At 46.6% G+C, this 19857-nt stretch overlaps 1 protein-coding gene across 35 annotated transcripts in view, besides 12 other annotated features; it reads right to left on the minus strand.

Annotated features, from left to right (window-relative positions):
- The window catches only part of BCL11A (BCL11 transcription factor A), a 103405-nt gene extending 93514 nt beyond the window's left edge, over nucleotides 1–9891 (minus strand). For 14 of the 35 annotated variants that reach the window (NM_138559.2, NM_018014.4, NM_001405733.1 and 11 more), the window contains exons 1-2: nucleotides 9183–9621; nucleotides 1938–2267 (exon numbers count right to left, since the gene is read on the minus strand). In NM_138559.2, the coding sequence (NP_612569.1) occupies nucleotides 1938–2267; nucleotides 9183–9237 (385 nt within the window). In that variant the 5' untranslated portion in view covers nucleotides 9238–9621. Of the gene's footprint in view, nucleotides 1–1937; nucleotides 2268–5771; nucleotides 6194–6834; nucleotides 6875–8464; nucleotides 8682–9182; nucleotides 9622–9844 lie in introns of those variants that run through there. The other 21 variants (NM_001405736.1, NM_001405724.1, NM_001405718.1 and 18 more) reach the window with 5 other exon arrangements.
- Nucleotides 5509–6281: an enhancer, noted in NCBI's record as "H3K27ac hESC enhancer chr2:60776677-60777449 (GRCh37/hg19 assembly coordinates)". NCBI's record gives its function as "activates a minimal SCP1, AML or CMV promoter by ChIP-STARR-seq in primed H9 embryonic stem cells {active_cell/tissue: H9 hESC(primed)}" and the evidence as "EXISTENCE:reporter gene assay evidence [ECO:0000049][PMID:30033119]".
- Nucleotides 5512–5691: a silencer, noted in NCBI's record as "silent region_11512". NCBI's record gives its function as "represses an Ori minimal core promoter by ATAC-STARR-seq in GM12878 lymphoblastoid cells {active_cell/tissue: GM12878}" and the evidence as "EXISTENCE:reporter gene assay evidence [ECO:0000049][PMID:35858748]".
- Nucleotides 5902–5951: an enhancer, noted in NCBI's record as "active region_15813". NCBI's record gives its function as "activates an Ori minimal core promoter by ATAC-STARR-seq in GM12878 lymphoblastoid cells {active_cell/tissue: GM12878}" and the evidence as "EXISTENCE:reporter gene assay evidence [ECO:0000049][PMID:35858748]".
- Nucleotides 6282–7054: an enhancer, noted in NCBI's record as "H3K27ac hESC enhancer chr2:60777450-60778222 (GRCh37/hg19 assembly coordinates)". NCBI's record gives its function as "activates a minimal SCP1, AML or CMV promoter by ChIP-STARR-seq in primed H9 embryonic stem cells {active_cell/tissue: H9 hESC(primed)}" and the evidence as "EXISTENCE:reporter gene assay evidence [ECO:0000049][PMID:30033119]".
- Nucleotides 7382–7691: a silencer, noted in NCBI's record as "silent region_11513". NCBI's record gives its function as "represses an Ori minimal core promoter by ATAC-STARR-seq in GM12878 lymphoblastoid cells {active_cell/tissue: GM12878}" and the evidence as "EXISTENCE:reporter gene assay evidence [ECO:0000049][PMID:35858748]".
- Nucleotides 7752–7811: a silencer, noted in NCBI's record as "silent region_11514". NCBI's record gives its function as "represses an Ori minimal core promoter by ATAC-STARR-seq in GM12878 lymphoblastoid cells {active_cell/tissue: GM12878}" and the evidence as "EXISTENCE:reporter gene assay evidence [ECO:0000049][PMID:35858748]".
- Nucleotides 8332–8691: a silencer, noted in NCBI's record as "silent region_11515". NCBI's record gives its function as "represses an Ori minimal core promoter by ATAC-STARR-seq in GM12878 lymphoblastoid cells {active_cell/tissue: GM12878}" and the evidence as "EXISTENCE:reporter gene assay evidence [ECO:0000049][PMID:35858748]".
- Nucleotides 10101–10190: a silencer, noted in NCBI's record as "silent region_11516". NCBI's record gives its function as "represses an Ori minimal core promoter by ATAC-STARR-seq in GM12878 lymphoblastoid cells {active_cell/tissue: GM12878}" and the evidence as "EXISTENCE:reporter gene assay evidence [ECO:0000049][PMID:35858748]".
- Nucleotides 10881–10930: an enhancer, noted in NCBI's record as "active region_15814". NCBI's record gives its function as "activates an Ori minimal core promoter by ATAC-STARR-seq in GM12878 lymphoblastoid cells {active_cell/tissue: GM12878}" and the evidence as "EXISTENCE:reporter gene assay evidence [ECO:0000049][PMID:35858748]".
- Nucleotides 11131–11260: a silencer, noted in NCBI's record as "silent region_11517". NCBI's record gives its function as "represses an Ori minimal core promoter by ATAC-STARR-seq in GM12878 lymphoblastoid cells {active_cell/tissue: GM12878}" and the evidence as "EXISTENCE:reporter gene assay evidence [ECO:0000049][PMID:35858748]".
- Nucleotides 11505–12113: an enhancer, noted in NCBI's record as "NANOG-H3K4me1 hESC enhancer chr2:60782673-60783281 (GRCh37/hg19 assembly coordinates)". NCBI's record gives its function as "activates a minimal SCP1, AML or CMV promoter by ChIP-STARR-seq in primed H9 embryonic stem cells {active_cell/tissue: H9 hESC(primed)}" and the evidence as "EXISTENCE:reporter gene assay evidence [ECO:0000049][PMID:30033119]".
- Nucleotides 13336–13485: an enhancer, noted in NCBI's record as "active region_15815". NCBI's record gives its function as "activates an Ori minimal core promoter by ATAC-STARR-seq in GM12878 lymphoblastoid cells {active_cell/tissue: GM12878}" and the evidence as "EXISTENCE:reporter gene assay evidence [ECO:0000049][PMID:35858748]".

Genomic DNA, 19857 nt, shown 5'->3' on the forward strand with positions numbered 1-19857 from the left:
ATATGTAAGGCCTTCCCCCCAGCATTTAGATTCCTCCTCTAAATACAGAGGCACAGAATTTTTGAGCTGGTTAATCTAAGACTGAATAACCTATTTGGGACCTCAGTAAGAAGTGTGGTTTTAATTCTTGCTTGACAGACACTGTGTTTTGTCTTTTAAACGAGCAGCTCGATATGTAAATACGATGTTACATCACGCAAGTGTTACTCCATATTTGGTGATTTAGCAAGGCTTTGGATCTCCGAAGACGACAAATCCCCTTCCGCCTGCTCTTGCTTCATTAATCATGCCTTACACTTCTGTTCATTTTCCTTCCAGTCACAAGACAACACATGGAAATGGTCATTCCCACATCCTGCTGGGGGGTAGGGGAGATAAAATCTTCACCTACATGTCACATAAGGTAAATGTGGTGGATTCAAGAAATACACTCCACAAATGCAGCTTCCCTAGCAGCAGATTTCCCATTTCACTAAAGGGAAAGTATCTGAGTGCTATCACAGAAAGCACTAAAAAAAGAAAGAAAATGCCATGTTTGGTTTTAATGATCAAATTCTAGAGGGGGAGAGGAGAAATAATATGACATTTAATCCCCTCTAGACCACTGACCTATTATGGTTCAACTTTGTGGTCAAACTAGGTCGGAGAGACAAGTTCCAGTGAATCAATTCATGATATGCACTACCTTTCCTAAAACTGAACAAACCTCTTGCCTTTCGGGAGCTGGGTGGTAGGTAGATGGAAGAAAGCGATCCACCAACAGGCATGGCATGTCTGTCATCACAGAATCTGCATTGACTTTTGTCTAACATGCTCAAGCAAAAAATGTTTTGAGGGTCACTATATAGTGTTACTGTTTATCACTTAGAGAAGGGAATTTAAGTCCCACTGCTAGCCTTTAATTCCTTTTCCCTTGAGCTGCCGAGAAACCCACACACCTAGCTGCCTCCCTGCTAAAATTAACCAAAGGAGGGAGGGCTGTTGAATACGTGTGTGTATTTTTCCAAGAAAATTTTTACATTGTGTTATAGCAGAAACAGTGGAGTCTGGACTGGACATTTGTAAGGGTGACATGTGGCTGTGTAAACCACAAACAAAATCAAGATACATCTGTCAAAACCACATCAGAGACAAGAGAGAGCACAGAGAAGCATTTATCATTTAGCTGAGGAGGCAGGCTGCAGGGAGCAGCCGTTCCTGTCAAACCAACCTTTTGAAATTTCCAACATGCCCTTAAACTTTTCGAGTAAGCATGTCTGTGCGCTTCAGCAACTGCCCTCTCTACTCTGGCCTGGCCAGTCGAAAATGGCATCTTAAAGTCAAGGTCATGGTGTCATCCCACCACGGGGCTGTGTTTAATTACAGCCCCATCCGGGCTGACAGCCAATATGGATCCAAGGCTAGCCCTGAAGCTCAGTTAACTCTTTCCACCACCTCCAACTACCCTGCCAGCCCACTCTACTTCAGGGAAGCCTTGAGAACGAGCTGAACCCCTAAGGAGGCCTGGCCAGATGTTCTGAGTCAAACAAGTCATTGGCTGAACTGCAAATGCCTATATGGCCACTTTGCCTCTGACACGTCACCAAGGCTGGAAATGGACAATGGAAGCTGGACTAGGTGTAGTAAAGCTCAATACTTCAAAATGAGAAGGTGGGGATGGGGAAGAAAAGAAATCCAAAATCGACAGATCCAGAGAGAAGGTGTCTGATGTGTGTACCTATCCTGCCTACATCTGATTCAGTGAGGTGGAAAATATTTATTTTTCTGTGTTCTGGACGTAAGCAACAGAAATGATTATTTTAACATTACAGGGCTGTCATGGACAGTCACATAGAGTAATAGAGAAAGCACTTCACAACTCCTTACTGCTTGGCTACAGCACCTCTGAAAATGAAAAGAAAACATGCAAACAGCTTTTCTCCTTGCTTCTCATTTACCTGCTATGTGTTCCTGTTTGGGGCAAATTCCTCTAGATGACGTTGATAAACAATCGTCATCCTCTGGCGTGACCTGGATGCCAACCTCCACGGGATTGGATGCTTTTTTCATCTCGATTGGTGAAGGGGAAGGTGGCTTATCCACAGCTTTTTCTAAGCAGAGGCTGCCATTGCATTGTTTCCGTTTGTGCTCGATAAAAATAAGAATGTCCCCCAATGGGAAGTTCATCTGGCACTGCCCACAGGTGAGGAGGTCATGATCCCCTTCTGGAGCTCCCAACGGGCCGTGGTCTGGTTCATCATCTGTAAGAATGGCTTCAAGAGGCTCGGCTGTGGTTGGAGAAACAAAAGCACAATTATTAGAGTGCCAGAGAGGACAGAAAGGGGAGAAGCACATCTCAACCCCATGCCATCCCACCACATCATGTAAAGTGTTTCTAGGCTTCTCTATATAATACCCAGAAAATGTGAGCATACAAAAAGTACAAGGATGTGAAGGTTATCAACCAGAGAGCAAATTTGTCAATGAGGCAAATCATCACATATGTAAAGAAAACAGTCTTCCTTGCATAACTCCAGAGAACACACACACACACATATACCCATGCACACACCCACAGCAACAAATGTGTCTGGTTTGTAAGTTTAGAAAGAATGCTACTTAAATAGTTAACACAGGGAACATAAAGAAAGCTTAAATAATAACTACAAGAAAAACTGGTTAAAAAAAAAAGTGGATAGAAACCAAATTTGTTTCTTTTTTCCTATACACCAAGTTGTCCATTGTGCCAAAGAATGAAAGGAGAGGTGAATAAACACACACACCCTTTGTGTGTGAATGTATATACTCCTAAGTAAACAGACATGGCTTCATAAATTAGAAAGCTACTATGTCACATGAAAAATGTGCCACATTTACACTGCTGTAATAAGAAAACGACTGCATGCACCTATGAAACGGATCTAAATAATAATCATGTCGCAGCATAATTCACACTGCCAAAAACCTTTCTGCTCTCACTCTCAGCAGTGCCACAAAATCAAAGAAATACCAAATGCACGGGCAGTATTTCTCAGACACATTAGCTAAATGGGATACTTTTGAGTACTTAAGAAAATAAGCCAATTAGTCATTTTTTTTTTATTCTGAGAAATGGAATGCCTATAATATTCTAAACATGTTTGCACTTGGTGGCATCTATGATATAAAAATCAGAATGGTCAAGCAAACACCACATTTCAGAGCAAGGCTGAGAAGTCCTTTCTTTAGACTTGAAATACTTCGCCTAATGTTGTCAAAGTGGACTAATTTTCTGAATGAGCTCCAAAATGCTTCATTATGAGACTATTTCTGCACACATAATCACCAGCGGATGGTATAACAAGGTAGACATGTCTTTCTTTCCTGTTTGCTTTTTTTTTTAACTTTGTACTAAAATACTCCAGCATCTACTTTACCAGCTTCTATCATTTTTTAAGCTTCCAAAGGGGAAAAGAGAGTTGGTAAGTCTCTGCTTGTGAAATCTTATGCTTGCTCTATCAAAAAAAAAAAAAAAATCACAAAATACAAAACATCCAGGATGCTGCCAGTTAATAAAACTGAAGCAGAAAATGTACAAGTCTTAAACAGTTAATCAGTCTGACCTTCTTTAGCAAGCTGCCAATTTTACATTTAATGAACTTAAAGCCACAGAGAATCAAAAAATAGATTTTAATTTGAGTGTAGAATATTGGAACAGATTTTGATAAAGTGCAAAAATCCAGTGAACTCAGGTTAAATTTATTTCAACCCTACCCAGGCTGAATATTGAGGGGGAAGATCTGGAGTAACTCCCAGATGTGCTAGGTGAAATAATATTGAGAGAGCCCTGCCTAGCTGCACCTGTGCTCAAGTAGGACATCTCATAATTTCTAGCCTCTGGTACTCCTCCTAATTTAACATAAGGTCACCACAGGAATATGAAGGTTATATTCCTACTAATAAAGACAGTAAAGTAAGCACTTATGTTTCTTTGCCCAACATACTGGCCAAAAGATAAATACAGAATACATATGCATACTTTTCAAATAAAAGAAGACAAACAGAAGTGCCTCTGCATTGTGCCTTAATGTCATTCTTCTCTTACATTTGCTTCCATTTTGACCAAGTGAGGAATAGGGAACTCATTCTCAAAATATTCCTGTTGTCTGAATTAAGGATTTTAAGTACACATTGATAAATGTGGCTTTTTTGTTTAGCATTAGCTACAAGTTCTGAGGTTTACAGACTGAAGGAAGACTTAGGAAAATATTTTATCAAACTTACTAGTACATAGAACCTTTGCAAAAAAAAAAATTTTTTATTTCCACCGTTAAGATTCTTTTTTTTTTTTTTTTGTTCCCAAGGTCTGACACATTTCTAAAAGTGGGAATATTATTTAGGTGCAAAAGGAAATATTCTCCTAGGTATCAAATAGTTAAAGGTAATGTGGTTCAAAACAGACTTGGTTAAAGTCTTCTAAATGTAGTGACTGAACTGATTTACAATCAAAACCGGGAAATGAAGTGGTAATTCAGAGGTTGCTGATTACACCTCCACATTTCACCTAATTAATTTTATAGGAGGCAAAGTTCTTGAAAATAACAAGATGATCAAATGTACAGATATAAAACCTGTAACCTCAACATTTTCTATGCTCTTAACGTAAATTATTGCTAATTAACAAGAATTATATTCTAATGTATGAAATACGTTTAACATCGGTCTCCTTGCAAAACATTTGGCTAGTGGTGTTCAGAGAAATACCAAAACGTGTTTTTATCATTGCTGGTATATTATTAAAAATCAGACAAAGTGGGACACAAAGAAAATATGAAAATACAATTCTCATGGTGTAGTCTACTGATTTGCATTGACATCTTTTCTCAGTGGCAATCAACATTTCCTTTCTGGGCATCTGATAATTTCTCTGCATTTTAATGCAAATTCCCCTTTCCCTAAAAACCTTCCTAACCCTCAGCCATTTACCCCCTCCCTCAATTCAACTCCATCCTCCTTCGCCCCAACAATACCAACATTTCTAAGCTCCGGCCTAAACTCCGGCTACAAAGCAGGGAGTCCTCGATTGAAGTGGAAGGGAGTGGGCAAATAATCATAATAATTAGCCGCGAATTCTCTCTACGAGGGGAGGAAGAAATAGAAAATAAAATGCTTCTACGTTCAAACAGCAAGACAGCCTGGAACGTCTCAATGTCTCAGTGACAGACTGAGATCTCTTTCCTCTCTGTGTAGTTGCAAAAGAATAAATTTAAGGGAAAAAAATAATCCTTATAGGAAATGTTGGTAAGGAGCGAGCAAAACGAGAGCTGCCGGGGAGCGGAGGGGGAGGGGGAAAGGGAGATGTGTCTTCAAGTTTGCTTTCCAAGTCCTTCTCCTTGATTGTCTTAACAGGGTAAAGAAGCAAACGGAGGCTGAAATTCAGAGAGGAAAAGCAAAGAAACAAAAGCAAAGCCGGGGGCTACAGGCCCGGGGCAGGGGCCCCGGCAAGGGTGGACCGTGCAGAAAGTGAAGTTGGGCGCGGGGACTCTGAGGCACAAAGCGAGCAGCGTGCTGGCTGCAGGCTCCCGCCGCGCTTGCTGCGAACACGTGCAGCAGCGGCCGCGGGGCCTTGGGGCCCGGGGGCCCGGAGACGGAGGGCAGCCAGGGGCCCTGACTGCTGCCTCCATGCCCGTCCAGCTCGGCCAGCTCGGCCGCGGGGTGACGGTTCCCTGGGCCTGCCAGTTGGTGAAAAAGGAAGTGAGGTTTGGAAAACCCGGCTGGTTAACCTGGTGCAGTCTCAGTATCTCCGCACACACCTCAAGCGCGGGTCCTGAGATTCATTCTGTGTCCACAAGCTTACACTTTTTACTTTGGGGGATCTCTGCAAATGCATTTCCCCCGCAATTCTGGGCACTGGGTGTGCGCGGCGGCGGCTGCGGTTATTCATTATTAATGACGCTGCCTGCCCGCATCATTATGATGATAACTATTACTATTGTTGTGATTCCGAGCTCCGAGGCGAGAGGGGGGGTGTCGGGCTGCAGAGCCGCCCAGCAAGCCAGCCGAGGCCACCGAGGTCTGTGCTTTGCATGGGGGTGAGGGGGTGGAAGAAGTGAGGCTGGAGACCAAGTGCAAACTTGCCATATCCCCCTCTTCGGCCATGCCCCGAAGCCCTAGAGCGCGCACTCCCGGTTCCTCCCTACCAAAAATGCCGGCCCCGAAAGAAAGCGAAAACTGCACCGTGCTCCGAGCCCGGCGCGCGCTGGTCTCAGCTCGCGCACGGGGGTGTCGGCCGCGCGCCCGGTCGCTTCTCCGCGGCCCCGGCCAGAAGCATTTTTAAAGTCAAAATGAAGAACAAAGACATACGGGGTGATGGGGGAGAGAAAGGGAATTCTGCCTAACCGTTCTTTCCCCCCACCCCCACCCTCGCAAAGCTCGTTCCTCCCCGGACGAGAATCGCCGGGCAGGAGGTGGGGGAGGCTCTGGTACAGGTTCAAGTTCGCTGAGCTTTCTTGATCTTGTTCTGCCTCCTAGCGACCGAATGGCTCATTCAGCCCACATAGCAGAGGCGGGGGGCGGGGGGGTGGTACTGAGGACCGGGATGGCTCCTGCCCCCTCTGAGCACCCAGAAAATGAGGACAGAAAGAAGTGGCCCCCTCACCCCCTCCCAAACTGGCCCTTTAACCCCGGGACAGGAGGAGGGGGTACTAACCCTCCCAGCCTAGAGTGTCCCAAGATGGACCCAGGAGGGAGAGGGGTACGAGGGAGCAGCCTGGACTGCGCGCCCCGGTCTGTCCTTTGAGCCCCCACTGCATCCTTCCGAAGAAGGGCCTGACTTTCCCGAGTCCTGCGAACACTGCCCTTCCTTCCCGCCGGTACCTGGCCGGGCTGTAACTTCACACCGCCGCGCGCCGCGTCTGATCCGCATCCGGCGCGGCCGGGGGAGTTGGGGGCGGGGGAGAGCGGCGAGGGAGGGATGCGAGGGGGTGGGGAGAGGGAGGGCCGCGCAACGTGCCGGGGTGGGGGAGCTTCCGAAGTGTGTGACAAGTTCCAGGGCCCAGTGAAAAATTAAATTCCCTGTGCGCACCCCCCACCACCACCCCTTTAAAAAAACACAGAACCAAGTATAGGTGGTCCTTTAAAACTGCATCAAAAATTTAAAGTAAGAATCATAAATTGAGTAGGGGGGGAATGTGGGCCCTCACGCCTTTCTTTCCCTTGCTGCCAAACTTTCCTAAGTGCCCACCGCCCGCCTTTCCAGGCGCAGTCAGCGGGAGACAGCCACCACCACCAGCTCTTATACAGACTCACAAGAACCTCAGACCAAGCCAGGCCTGGGGAAGAGGGCAAGACCCAAAGGGTGAAGTGCTCGGGGTCCCAGGATCCAGCGCCCTTAAAATGCACACTCAAACACACTTCTCCCCTGCCCTTCCCCGGCAACCCCGCCACCTGGCCTAGTCGTGCTCGGGGCGCAGGGGGACTGGTGACCAGACCGGGCGGGGTGGGGGGTGGGCAGGGAAAGCACGTGGTGACCTCCTCGCGGTCCCGAGCTGTGGACAAGAGACGTCTGAGAAAGTACCCAGGGCGGAGGGGAGGGGAGGCGCAGAACGCGCTTTTACAGTTGCCCTGCAAAATAAAAATGCTTTGCAAAGCCGAGTTTCACCCAGCCGATTTCGCAGTCTGGGAGGTCGAGAAGAGGTCTCGGCATTGTGCTGGGGGCGGACCAGGACCACGGGCCAGGCTGGCGCGGAGACACTGCGTGGCCTGCCGCCGTGCCTGGCGGGTGGGCGCCGGGCGCCGGGTGGGCGATCCGGGGCTGGGCTGGGGCGCGGCGAGGTCGGGCAAGGCCCGGGCGAGGCCAGGCCGCCGCCGCCGCCTGCTCCGGGGCTGCCGCGCCGCGCTCGGTCCTCTGTCTGTTTGTTGGCAGGAGGCTCCCGCACACGCGGTGCTTGTAAACATTCAGACACGAGATTTTTCCCAATCAAAATCCACTTCCACTTTTTTTGAAAATCTTCCAAAAAATAGTAAGAGGAGGGAGTTCCTCTCTCCCTCTCCGTGCCGTCGGCGCCCTAAGTTTGCAACTGAAGGGGTTTGGGGGAAGAGGGTGATTGTAAATTTTTTTCTAGATGAGAGATTGTGAGATTTTTGCAGGGGGGCTGGTGGGGGAGTCAAAGAGAAGGCCGTCACAGAAAAGGGTTGGCAGAGCGTTTGGCTTCGGTTTGGGGGCAAGAAATTGTACATTCTCTTGCCTTGTTTTATTTATTTTATTTTTATGTATTTATTTATTTATGTGCCAGTCTTCTCCTTGCTGCCTCTGAGGTTCGGTCGGGAGGGGAGGGCAGCGGCAACCCAGGAGGCAGCAGTCCGGGCTCCCTCCCTCCCTCTCCCGCGTGCCCCCGGCCGCCTCCTCCCCCGGCCCTAGCTCCTGCCCTTCGGCGGCGGCGGCGGCGGCGGCGCGGGAGGGCAAGCGCGAGGAGCCGGCACAAAAGGCAGCGGGACAAACACCCACCTCTGGCCGGAACAAAAGGCGGCAGTGCCGGCCGCGTCTCCCGTCCTTCCCGGTCCCACGGCTCTCCCCGTCGCCGCGGCCCCTCTCCCGACTCCGCGGACTCAGGAGCGCCGGGGGCCCCTTTCCACAGTGCCACTTTCTCACTATTGTGGGGATGACTACTTTCCTCCCGCTGCACACTTGACCGTGAGCGCGCTGGTGTCCAAAAGCCAGTCTCACCTCTTTTCTCCCCGGGAATCGTTTTTTAGACTTGTACTCACTCCCTCCCTACCCCCCCATTTTCTTACGGTGAGTGGGAAGCAACCTCCCTTTCCCCACCAGCTCCCACCCCCAGGTTTGCATGTGAGTTGTTCGCAACCTTAGCATTGTTCATTATTTTGCAAAACTGGCGGGGCGGGGGGGGAGTGGAATCATTGCATTCCTTTTCGAAAAGAGAAATAAAGCGGCGGAAAGGAGGAAAGAGGAGGAGTCAAATTTTTGTAAAATTAAATAAAATTAAAAGGTGCGTGCTGTCTCAAAAGTGCATACACGGCAATGGTTCCAGATGGGATGAGGGTTTTTTCCCCCTTTATCTCTTTTACCTCGACTCTCGGAGGTTTTTCTCGTGAAAAATTTAAAAATGCATGCACACACCCCTCTCTCCCCCTCGCTTTTGCTTCTAGTCCTGCGCGCTCTCGTGATTATTAATAATTATTATTACTATTATTGGGTTACTTACGCGAGAATTCCCGTTTGCTTAAGTGCTGGGGTTTGCCTTGCTTGCGGCGAGACATGGTGGGCTGCGGGGCGGGCGGCGGCGGCGGCGGCGGCGGCGGCGGGCGGACGACGGCTCGGTTCACATCGGGAGAGCCGGGTTAGAAAGAAGGAGACTCCAGAGAAAATATCTTCATCAGTGCCTTTTGACATCCAAAATAAATTAGAAATAATACAAAGATGGCGCAGGGAAGATGAATTGTGGGAGAGCCGTCATGGCTTTTTTTTAAGCAAAAAAAAAAAAAAAAAAAAAAAAAAAAAGAGGGAGAGAGAGAGAAGAGAGATAGAGGGAGAGAGAGAGAGAGAGATGAAAAAAATGGCAAAAGCCCCCCTGAGCTGCAAGTTCAAGTGCGGACGTGACGTCCCTGCGAACTTGAACGTCAGGAGTCTGGATGGACAGAGACACACAAAACATGGGCAGGGCGAGCAGGAGAGAAGGGGAGGAGGGAAGGGGAAGCTCACACCAATGGACACACATCAGGGGCTGGACATGAAAAAGAGACCAGGACAAGCCAATGGCCAGTGCGGGGAGGGGGAGGTGCGGGGCGGGGGGCTCCGCGGACGCCAGACGCGGCCCCCGGGGGAGGGGCGGGCCGAGGGGAGGGGGCGCTGGGGCCGCGGGCTCACCAGTGGCCGCAGCGAGCGCCGCGGCGGTGGCGTGGCCGGGAGAGAAGAAAGGGGTGGCAGGGGTGGGAGGAAAGGGTGGGGGGGAGCAAGACGTGCGCCCTGCTCCCCCCCACACACGCGGACTCTAAAATGAAAGATTATTCAAAAAAGAAAAAAATAGAGCGAGAGTGCACCGGGAGGCTGCAGCCCCGGGCTGGGGAAGCGCGGGCGGAGGGAAGCCAGGTAGAGTTGCTCCCGGACACCCTCCTCCGTACGCACACCCACTTCCCCTCCCCGCCGCCGCCGCGCTCGCTCCCCGCGTGTGGACGCCAGGGGCCGAAGTAAAAGCCCCGAGCCCGCGGCTGCGCTCGGGAAACTTTGCCCGAGGAGAGGACAGCAAAGAAAAATCACCCGAAGTTGAGAGCTGAGCCTCCAAGTTACAGCTCCGCAGCGGGCGAGGGGAGGTGGGAGGGAGCGCACGGCAACGCGGAATCCAGCCTAAGTTTGGAGGGCTGCGGGTCCGGAAGGGCAGCGCCCAAGTCTCCAGGAGCCCGCGCGGCCTGGAAAGAGGGGACCGGGGAGAGGCAGGCGGCGCAGGCCGGGGCCCGAGGGCGCCCCCAAGGCCGAGCCAGGGACCGGGAATCTGAGCGCCCCGCCAAGCGACTGGGTCTGAATGCAACTGAAAGCGCCGAGTCCCCGGCTCCTAAGGGTCGCAGAAAGAGAGCCCGAGGAATAAAGAACGAGGAGCCAGAGTCTGGCCCCCGGAGGGGAGCGCCGGGGGCCTGGGCAAGAGAGGCACCGAGGCGTCCACCTCTCTGAGAGGCCGAGGACAAAGCGCGGGCAGTCCCGGGAGTCCCAGTCCCTGGGAATGTGCTCACGGCGCCGCGGGAGGTCCCCGAGCCGGGTCCCTGGGAGGGACACACCCCCTCCCACTCCAGAGCAACTGCAAAAGCACAGAGGGATGGGAAGAAAATGTTTCTTACGGGCAGAGCACAACTGTTCCTGTGCTGTTACCCAGGGAAAGAGAAAATGGGAATGGAGAGAGAGCGACAGGCTCGCAGGAGCAGCGGGGAGACCACGGTGGTGAGATGACCGCCTCGGGTCACCGCCGCGCTCCCCAGGCGCCGCCGGCCAAGGCGCACACCCAGGAGCCAGCAGCCCCCTCTCGCCTTTCTGCAGACGTTCCCTGGAAATTAGGGAAGACCTGTTGGAAATAAAACCCTGTCTCTTTAATGCACACACGCACACACACGCGCGTGCTGCCGCTGTCAAAAAGCGGGCTTCACTCTGGCGTGGGATACTTTCAGTTTTACGTAAAATGTACAGCAACAGCACCCCCTGCGATTGGAAAGTTTATTCAGAAACGTGCCTGTAAAGTCCCCTGGCGCCTCCCGCCTCCCAGCCTCCCTGCCTGCCAGCACCACTCTGCAGCCGCCGCCGCCGCCGCCGGGGAGATCGCAGTCCGATTCCAAATCTGGAAGGAGTTGGGGGGAGAGGAGAATGGACTCAGGTCCAAGGGAGGTGCGGAGGGTGCAGGGTGGAGACGGGTCGCCATGGCCCGCGAGACCCTGAGCTGCAGGTGGATATGTGTGAGTGTGTCTGCAGAGCGAGGAGCCCTCCTTCCCTCTCCTCGGAGCGGTTCCACAACCCCCGTCTTCTCATCCCCCTCTTCAGTCTAAAGGGTGTCGCTTCCGTAAACTCACCCACCCGGTGGGGGGGCTTTATTGTTTTAAGCGAGGGCCCCGGGCTTGCACGCGCTCACCCATCCCGCAGCCCTGCCGGCAAGCGGCTGTTTATTCCTGTTTCGTCTTAGTAAAGTTTCAAGTCTACTGTGTTAGAAAATGACTGGCTTGCCTAGCTCGGCGGAGCTTCGGACCCCTCTAAGGAAGAAAAGGAGGTTTTGATGCTCAACATTGAGAGAGATGTGGGCTGTACTGGGATTGTGTCAATGTGGTTTGTTGTTTGTTGTTGTTTCCCTCCAGTTTGTGGGAGGGAGACCTCAAATTCTGTTTAAGAAGCGGGAGGATTCACTAGAAGTTAAGCTCTGTAGCTTGTGTGTGACACCATTTCCCCTTTTCACTGAGTTCTTCAGAGCAGGTCAGCATCTCTATTCCACCACAGTCTGCTTTTTGTCTTGTTAAACCAGCCTTGGAGTCACCAAAAGAATGTCTTCTTGGGGGGTGGCGGGGGAGGACGACGTGGGGGACGGTTGGAGGGAAGGTGAAGAGAGGGAAGAAGAAAGTGCAACTGGGAGGCCTTTGAAAAATAAATAAATAAAAGAAAAGCCCCTTCAGGTAACAATAGTGAGCCAGATTCTTTCAGAACCAAGCTTTTCAGATTTGAATATTGTTCCCACCCGTCCATAAAAGTCCATCTATAGAGAAGATATATAAATGAGCGAGTGAGTGTTGTGGAAATATATATATATGTATGATTTATATATAATGGTGTGTATAAAGCTTTTCGGGGTTGGCTGTAGTGTAAAAAGTAATGACTTTATTACCTCTGAAAGGTTCTGTGGTTCACATTTAACAGTCTTCTGAATTACAATTCATTACACAATTGTGTGCGCTCTGACGATGGCACCCTATCAGGGCTGCTATCTGTGGCTATTTCCAATAAATAACTGGCAACATTTTATTGATTTTCCTTTTTAAAAAAAAACATAGGAAATTAAGCACTTAGTTACAAGTAGGTCTGCTATGTTATTGCACTTGTTTCAGATTCCAGGGGGTTCCTTCCTAAACCACATCTTAAAACATACATTAAAAAGCCAGTTTTGCAGCTGCTTTCCCTGGGTGCCAAAGGAGAGGTAAGCAGCGACGATTCCCCGACATATATTTAATTTCACCATCATAATATGCCCAGGGTGAAATGGGAAGTGCCCTCCGCTCCCGCCCCTCCCCCAGCCAGATTTCACCCAGTCCAGAAAACCACGGCTGTGTGTCGGCATTTGATCCCTCCTGGTCGTCGACCCCCCTCCCCGGCCCCTGGTGCCCTCCCCTAGGGCGACAACCCCTCCCTCAGCACTGCTGGATGCTCGCTAAAGAGCCCGAAAGTGGGGGAGGGGAGGGTTTGTATGTGTGTTTAAAGAAAGATGTGTCGTTTTAAGAGATTTTAAAATATTACGTAAGTATTGATTAATGATGCAGGTGGTTTTGTAGAGGGGGTGAAAGGTCACTTTAAATGCGCACACTTGGATACACAATAAGTATATTTACCTTTCCAGAAGTGGCTTTTAGAAAGTAATAAATTATGACAACGTTAAAATTATTTTCTGGCCGTTCAGTTAACTTCGTTTGGGGCTGTAGAGCTGTTGCTGCTCCCATTGAAAGGGTAATTACGTTCCGTGGGCTCTTTCCCAAACCTTTGGTGACGACACTGCGTGTAAACTCCAGGCCAGCAGACGACCCCTCCCCTTCCCTCCTCCCCCTTTTTATCTTGCCCGCGGAGGAGACGCCCCAGGACTTCCTGCAGTATATATTCTGCCTCTGATCTCCGTACTTAATAGCCAAGTCCTAGTTTATGCTTTATAATGTGTTGACAAGTTTTCTAACAGACTTTCTGAAATAATGCACATATATTCACGTCGGTTAGAAACCCACCGTATTTTTAGAGTTGAGTAGATCTATACCCTAATGCAGTGAGAGAGTGTAAATCATACAGGATTTCATAGTCCTTTCAGTAGTTTTCGGTATGAAGTATGAGCCGCGTGGCCTCCAGACGTAACCTTTTAGAAAAAAAAAAAGACAGTGCTTTTATTTTATGGTGTAAAGTGCTTTTAGCTCAAGGGCTCTGAACGTGAATGTGGTCAACAAACAGCTCGAAGAGGGAGACTTAATACAGTCCCAGCCCTCGGACCGAGGATCGCCTGGCGCGAGGAACTCGGGCTGAGCTGGAAGATGAAGGGTTAAAAGGTCTGTCAGGATGGAAACTACAAGATTAAAATAAAATATTCACTGTCTGCCTTTAGGGGGAAACACCTTCATAGACTCAAAGATAAATAAGTGAATGACTGAATGAATGATTAAAAATACAATCATTTCCTTCTTGATTTTTACTTTAGCCTTTTTTCTTCTTTTTATTTCTTTTCTTTTAATTTTTATTTTTTGTTTTTCCTAATTGGCAGGTCACAAAATAGAGAACAGGCAGTCATCTTCATAAAAATAAAACTTAGGTTTGGATTCTATGCTTGGCATAGGTTTTGTATTTTGGGTCTCAATGATGGAAGTGCTAGGCTGTTGTTAAGACAAAGGAAAAATGAATTTTAAAATGTTGGGAATGGCTGGGGGTGGTGGCTCACACCTGTAATCCCAGCACTTTGGGAAGCCGAGGTGGGAGGATCACTTGAGGTCAGGAGTTCAAGACCAGCCTGGCCAACAATGTGAAACCCCATCTCTACTAAAAATACAAAAAATTGCTGAGCATGGTGGCGCATGCTTGTAGTCCCACCTACTTGGGAGGCTGAGGCACAAGAATCGCTTGAACCTGGGGGACAGAGGTTGCAGTGAGCCAAGATCACATCACTGCACTCCAGCCCGGGCAACAGCCTGTCTCAAAAAAATAATAATAAAAATGTTAGGGAGTTGCTTGTGGAAGAGGATGAGCTTCTTTTTCCTCCTCTACTCCCAGTGTGACCCACAGGTTGGGAGGTCCCTGGAGGACAGTATCTATACCTTCTACAAAGGCACAGACATCTCTCAAGGAGGCTCCTGGGAGAACCATTAGTCTGGCATCTTTCTCTCCAGGCTCCCTGGGCCTTTAGCTAGCTAGCAGTCAGCGCTTCAAACACCTGAATGAACCTATCCAAAGAAAAAGGAAAAGGAAAGAAGGAAGAAAGGAAGGAAGGAGGGAGGGAGGGAGGGAGGGAGGAAGGAAGGAAGGAAGGAAGAAAGAAAGAAAGGAGGGAGGAAGGGAGGGAGGGAGGAAGGAAGGAGCGAGCTGAACCTGCTCTAAGTCTATACTTTCCTCTAGATGAGGCTGCTGTGTGCTAAGTCAATAATGTATGGGGAAGAGGGAGCAGTAGTCTTACCACATAAGTAAGGGGCCCCTTGGAAGAGACAAAGAGTTCTAGTTAGAACGCTACTGAATGAAATGCTCAGTTTAGCTTCCTAATATTGACATCAAAGACACAGAGGTGCTGGGCAATGCTGCCAGTCCAATGAATGTACTGCACTAGAGAGTTCCTAATGCAATAATCAGCACACAGTAGATGTCCAATAAATGGTCTTTGATAAATAATAAATTAATAAAGTTATCTGATAAATAATAATTTGATAAATAATAAACTAATAAATCCTATCACCACATACATGAAACCAACATAACCATCCAAATTCTATTCATTTTCCCCCAAAACTAATAAGGCTTTGATCAGGCAACCCTATTCCAAGAGTGTGTTTAAACATAAAAGTGATTCCCACCAAGGATGGTGAGCTCAGAAAAGATTATCTCGAATATCAGAGCAGCTGAACAAGTAACAATACAAGATATTTCCATCGTCTCCAGCAGCATACATTATCAAATATCTTCCAAATAAGCCAGTATCAATAAGCTGGTATCAAATGATTTCTTTTTTTTTTTAACATTGCTTTTGGATACGTACAAAACTGCTTTCTCAAATGAGACTACTTTTAAAGGAAAAAAAATACAATCAAAACAACCAAAAATAAAAGGTATTTCAAACTTGATTCTCTATGCTTCCCTACCCCATGCATCTTTTACCTTTAGCAAGGGAATAATTTTTTAATACGTGTTTTTCAAACCCAATCTTAAAAACAACCTTCACCTATATGCCTCTCTCTTTCCCTCTCTCTCGTAAATAAAAAAAAAAGCAACACACACACACACACACACACATCTGGTCTGACATTTTGTACAGCCAGCTTCAGCCCAATGTGATTTAAAACAATGTGAGTTAAAAACCTCTTAAAATTTGGGTTTATAATGGAAACGCTGACAGACTCTTAATTATAGCAGCCCTGCCAGACACTGCTATAATGAAATAGTTGTGCTTTCATTACTATAGAGGCACTATAGTTAAGGGTCTGTCAGTGTTTCTATTATAAACCCCAAGTTTAAGAGGTTTATAACTTGGGCTATTTAAATGGCACTGGGTAGAATTCAAGTTATCAGTCCAGATGTGAACTTGTTTTATAAAAGGCAGAATAACTCAGCTGAGGAAGCTTTTGGATCTCTCTCTCTCCTCTTTCTCTCTCTCTCTCTCTCTCTCCTGTTTCTCTCTCTCTCTATCTCTTCTGTTTCTCTCTCTCTCCCTCTCTCTCCTCCAGAACATTTCAGAATGTTTTTAGTAGTTTCAGATGGTCTTATTGCCAACTTCCAGCTATGACTTCACTGCCTGAAAGGAAATTTTATAGGCAGTTAGTCCTTTATTTGGACAAGTACTCTTTGCGATTTTATAAGTTTTTATTATTTTATCCTGGAGTATGTATGTGTGGGTGTGTGTGTTCCTACATATATATAGGCGCACACACAGAAAGAAACAACTTAAAAATCAAGACTATATGCCAAGGAATGTTGCGACCTCATACATATACACAGAGGTATGCATTCTGTGCTACCTTCTGATGAAAAAGTATGAACTTACCAGAAAGGAAAAATAAAGCACCTCAGATCATCTTAATCCTGTCTACCAACTGTGTGGTAAAAATAAGAGTTAGTATTCACATCTTATTTCATAAAAGGTACAGCTTTCCTGGCATCACTTGGTTTGTTTGGAAGGCAATAGCATGGTGCAGTCATCCTGAGTTACCCAAGGACTGTACACAAACACCATGTATTTCTCTGCTTGACTTTGACTGTTGACAGATTGATGAAGAATTTACTTTGTATAATCCGGTGGACCAGAGTTTTGAAATATGTACTATTAACCTGGTATACCACCACCATAATATGAAACTAATGTTTATGGGTGATGATGTGGCCGATGCTGAGTATATGCATGAGGAAAACAAGGATGGTGGTGGTAATGATGATGATGGTGGCGATAGAGGTGGCGGTGGTGGTGATGATGATACTGGTGGTGATGGTGATGGAGAAGGTAGTGCTGATGGGGTGGGGAGTGGCAGTTTCTCTAATTAACATGTCCACCAGAGGGCAGTAGAAATAGGATGAAAGATGGGGTAAGGTTAGAAGCTCTAACACTTTGTTTCTCCAAATCTTGTTGCTTTAGAAAAGCCACTCCATAAACATCAGGTGGCGGACAAGTTAAAGTGAAGTTTTTAAATGCATGCAGCTCATGGCACCTCCACCAAAATGTGACCTTGGCTGGATGTTGTTGGCAGACCCTAAGGTCACTGACTTCACACAGAAAGGCCCACCAAGAGCTATGCAGCAACCACATCTGCATTCAGAAATCTTTTCACTTTCAGAAGAGCAGTTCCTTTCCTCTATTCCCTCTGACTGGGATCAGACCACCAAATTAGGCCACTGAGGACCACAGGCTTTGATCGTTCTCACTTCACAATAGCTTTAGTTGGTCTCCTCTGGAATTCAATGAGTGACAAAAGGGAAGCAGTCATCAAAACATGTCACCAGGCTCAAGTTCCTTCTCTACCAGTGTCTCATAAACCCCATAATTGCCTAACCCCATAACCACTCCAGCTGAATGCCAGTCATTCCCAGAGAGCACTGCACAGCCCAGACTATTCTGGTCCCTTCTCTAGAAATTAAGACTTTTTTTGTGTGTGATAGTCAATAGTCTTTTTTGGTTTTTTCTTGTCAAATTCAGCAAAGGGAACTTTTCTAGGAGAAAATACCTATCCCTCTGTCATCTTTCTTTGGCAGCTTAGTAGAGAATAAACAAATCTCTCTATTCTCCCATTCCCAGTTGCACACAATTTGCCTGTTTTCTCTTTCTCTTAAAAAAAAAAAATCCTTGCACAAGTTCAGTTATCTGAACCTCCAGATTCCTATAAAATGAAGAATCTGGTCCTAAGAATTGTTATTCTTTCCTTCTTTATGGAGCACTGCACTGTGCAAACATAAGATGTGGTCCCTGCTTTTGGATGATTGGTTTTGTTTTGTTTTGTTTTTTAAGGCGGTAAGACACACATACACAGGCACAAGCATGTCACATAAAGTTCACCAGTCACACATGCCAAAGCCATACAAATGCACACTATTATCCTATTTTGTATAGCCCTAGCTTCATATTACTAATTTGAGCGGTTCTAAACCTATAGCGAGGATCTATGTGAGGCAACACAGCTCTGGTCACTCTGACACCAGATTTGTACTTTCTGGAGAAAAACTTGATTTCCCATAAATGAGAATGGTAAATAATGAGGTCTGGTCATAGATATCTGTGATCATCTATCTCTATCACAGTTTTTATAATGTTTTCAAATGGCTTAACTAGTTACTTTTGAGAAATGAGCTTTCTGTGCTACCACTTGTTTTGTAGGCAATATTATGGACTATTCCTAGCATGTATTTGTGAATGTGCCTTTTTTTTTTTTTTGAGTCGGAGTCTCGCTCTTTCACCTCTGGAATGCAGTGGCACAATCTTGGCTCACTGCAACTTCTGCCTCCAGGTTCAAGCAATTCTCCCTCCCTCAACCTCCTGAGTAGCTGGGATTACAGGTGCCCACCACTATGCCAGGCTAATTTTTGTATTTTTTTAGTAGAGAGGGGGTTTCACTATGTTGGCCAGGCTGGCCTCGAACTCCTGACCTCACGTGATCCACCCACCTCAGTCTCCCAAAGTGCTGGGATTATAGGCGTGAGCCACTGCGTCCAGCCAATTTTTTGTTTTGGTTCCCTAACACATAGTAGGCACTTAATACATTTCCTGAATCAAGGAATGAATTCCACAAATATATTTTCAGTTGCTGCTGCCAGTGAAAAAGACATGGGTATTTGCGTTGCTCACTAATAAGTACTCAATAATTGAAAATTATATTATTTTATTTCATTTTTTAAATAGTTAAGAAACATGGGCCATTTGCACTGCTATTTAACCTACATATTATAAACTCCACACCCACTTCCATCAGGGGGAAACAATTACATGTCTCTCTGTGTATATTCCATATAATATCTGTGTATATATGTGTGTATAATATCTTTGTATATATGTCATAAAAGCCACCACATCACCCAAGTCCTAAGTTGTTAGAGCTTATAGGGCACAGTCTCTGTCATTTTCATCTTTCTCTCCCTCAGCACAGAGTAGAACCTTAGGAAAATGTCTGGTACATGAACAAAGACTTACAAAGTAAACCACTTAGATTCCCAGGAACTTCAAAATCCTATCTACCATAGACAAAATGTCCTTTTTATTGTTCTCAATTCTCAGATTTTGAAATGCAGCAAAATATTCAAACAGCCAAATTTCAAGAGCATCATAACAGAGTAACTCTGAGAGACTAATTCTGGAGGCTGATTCTCCAGACACTACGTTCTTTAAATATCAAGACCTGTCTAGCTGGTTTTCATTTGCAACAGGCAAAGCTCACAGAGCTTTATATGGGCAACCCCCTTCCCATACACCCCCAAACAGTGATTTTTTCTGGCCTGGCTCAGGGAGCAAGGGAAATATCAGTATATGCTCTTGACATATGATGAGTAAAGAAGTATGACCTTCTCTTCTCAAAATATTGAATCTTGAACTCAGAGCTTAATTAGTGGATTTTTAAAATAAACTAAGCTTCTGACTACAAATATATTAGGGGAAAGCATATACATTATTTGAATATTAAGCACATAAGGGGGTTTTGCTAAAGATTATAGATCTTTTGCTTGTATTGATTTAAAGGTTCTAGAAAATTTTAAATATGCTCATTTTAAAACATGTTTTATAAGAAATCAACTCTCCTTCATGGGAACATGCAGCTTTCCATTTTTTTTCTTTTATTTTAGCATAAATAAATCAAACAGAGGCAGCCTCCAACCAAAAAGGAACTCCTTTCTTTTAAAAAAAAATTATATGATTTTAGCTTTAGTAATGTCTTCAGAATTCCAAGATGGATCGTTTCTTTCCACTGATGTTCACATTTAAGGGGCTGGATCTC

This window comes from Homo sapiens, chromosome 2 (assembly GCF_000001405.40).
Source record: "Homo sapiens chromosome 2, GRCh38.p14 Primary Assembly".
NCBI lineage: Eukaryota > Metazoa > Chordata > Mammalia > Primates > Hominidae > Homo > Homo sapiens.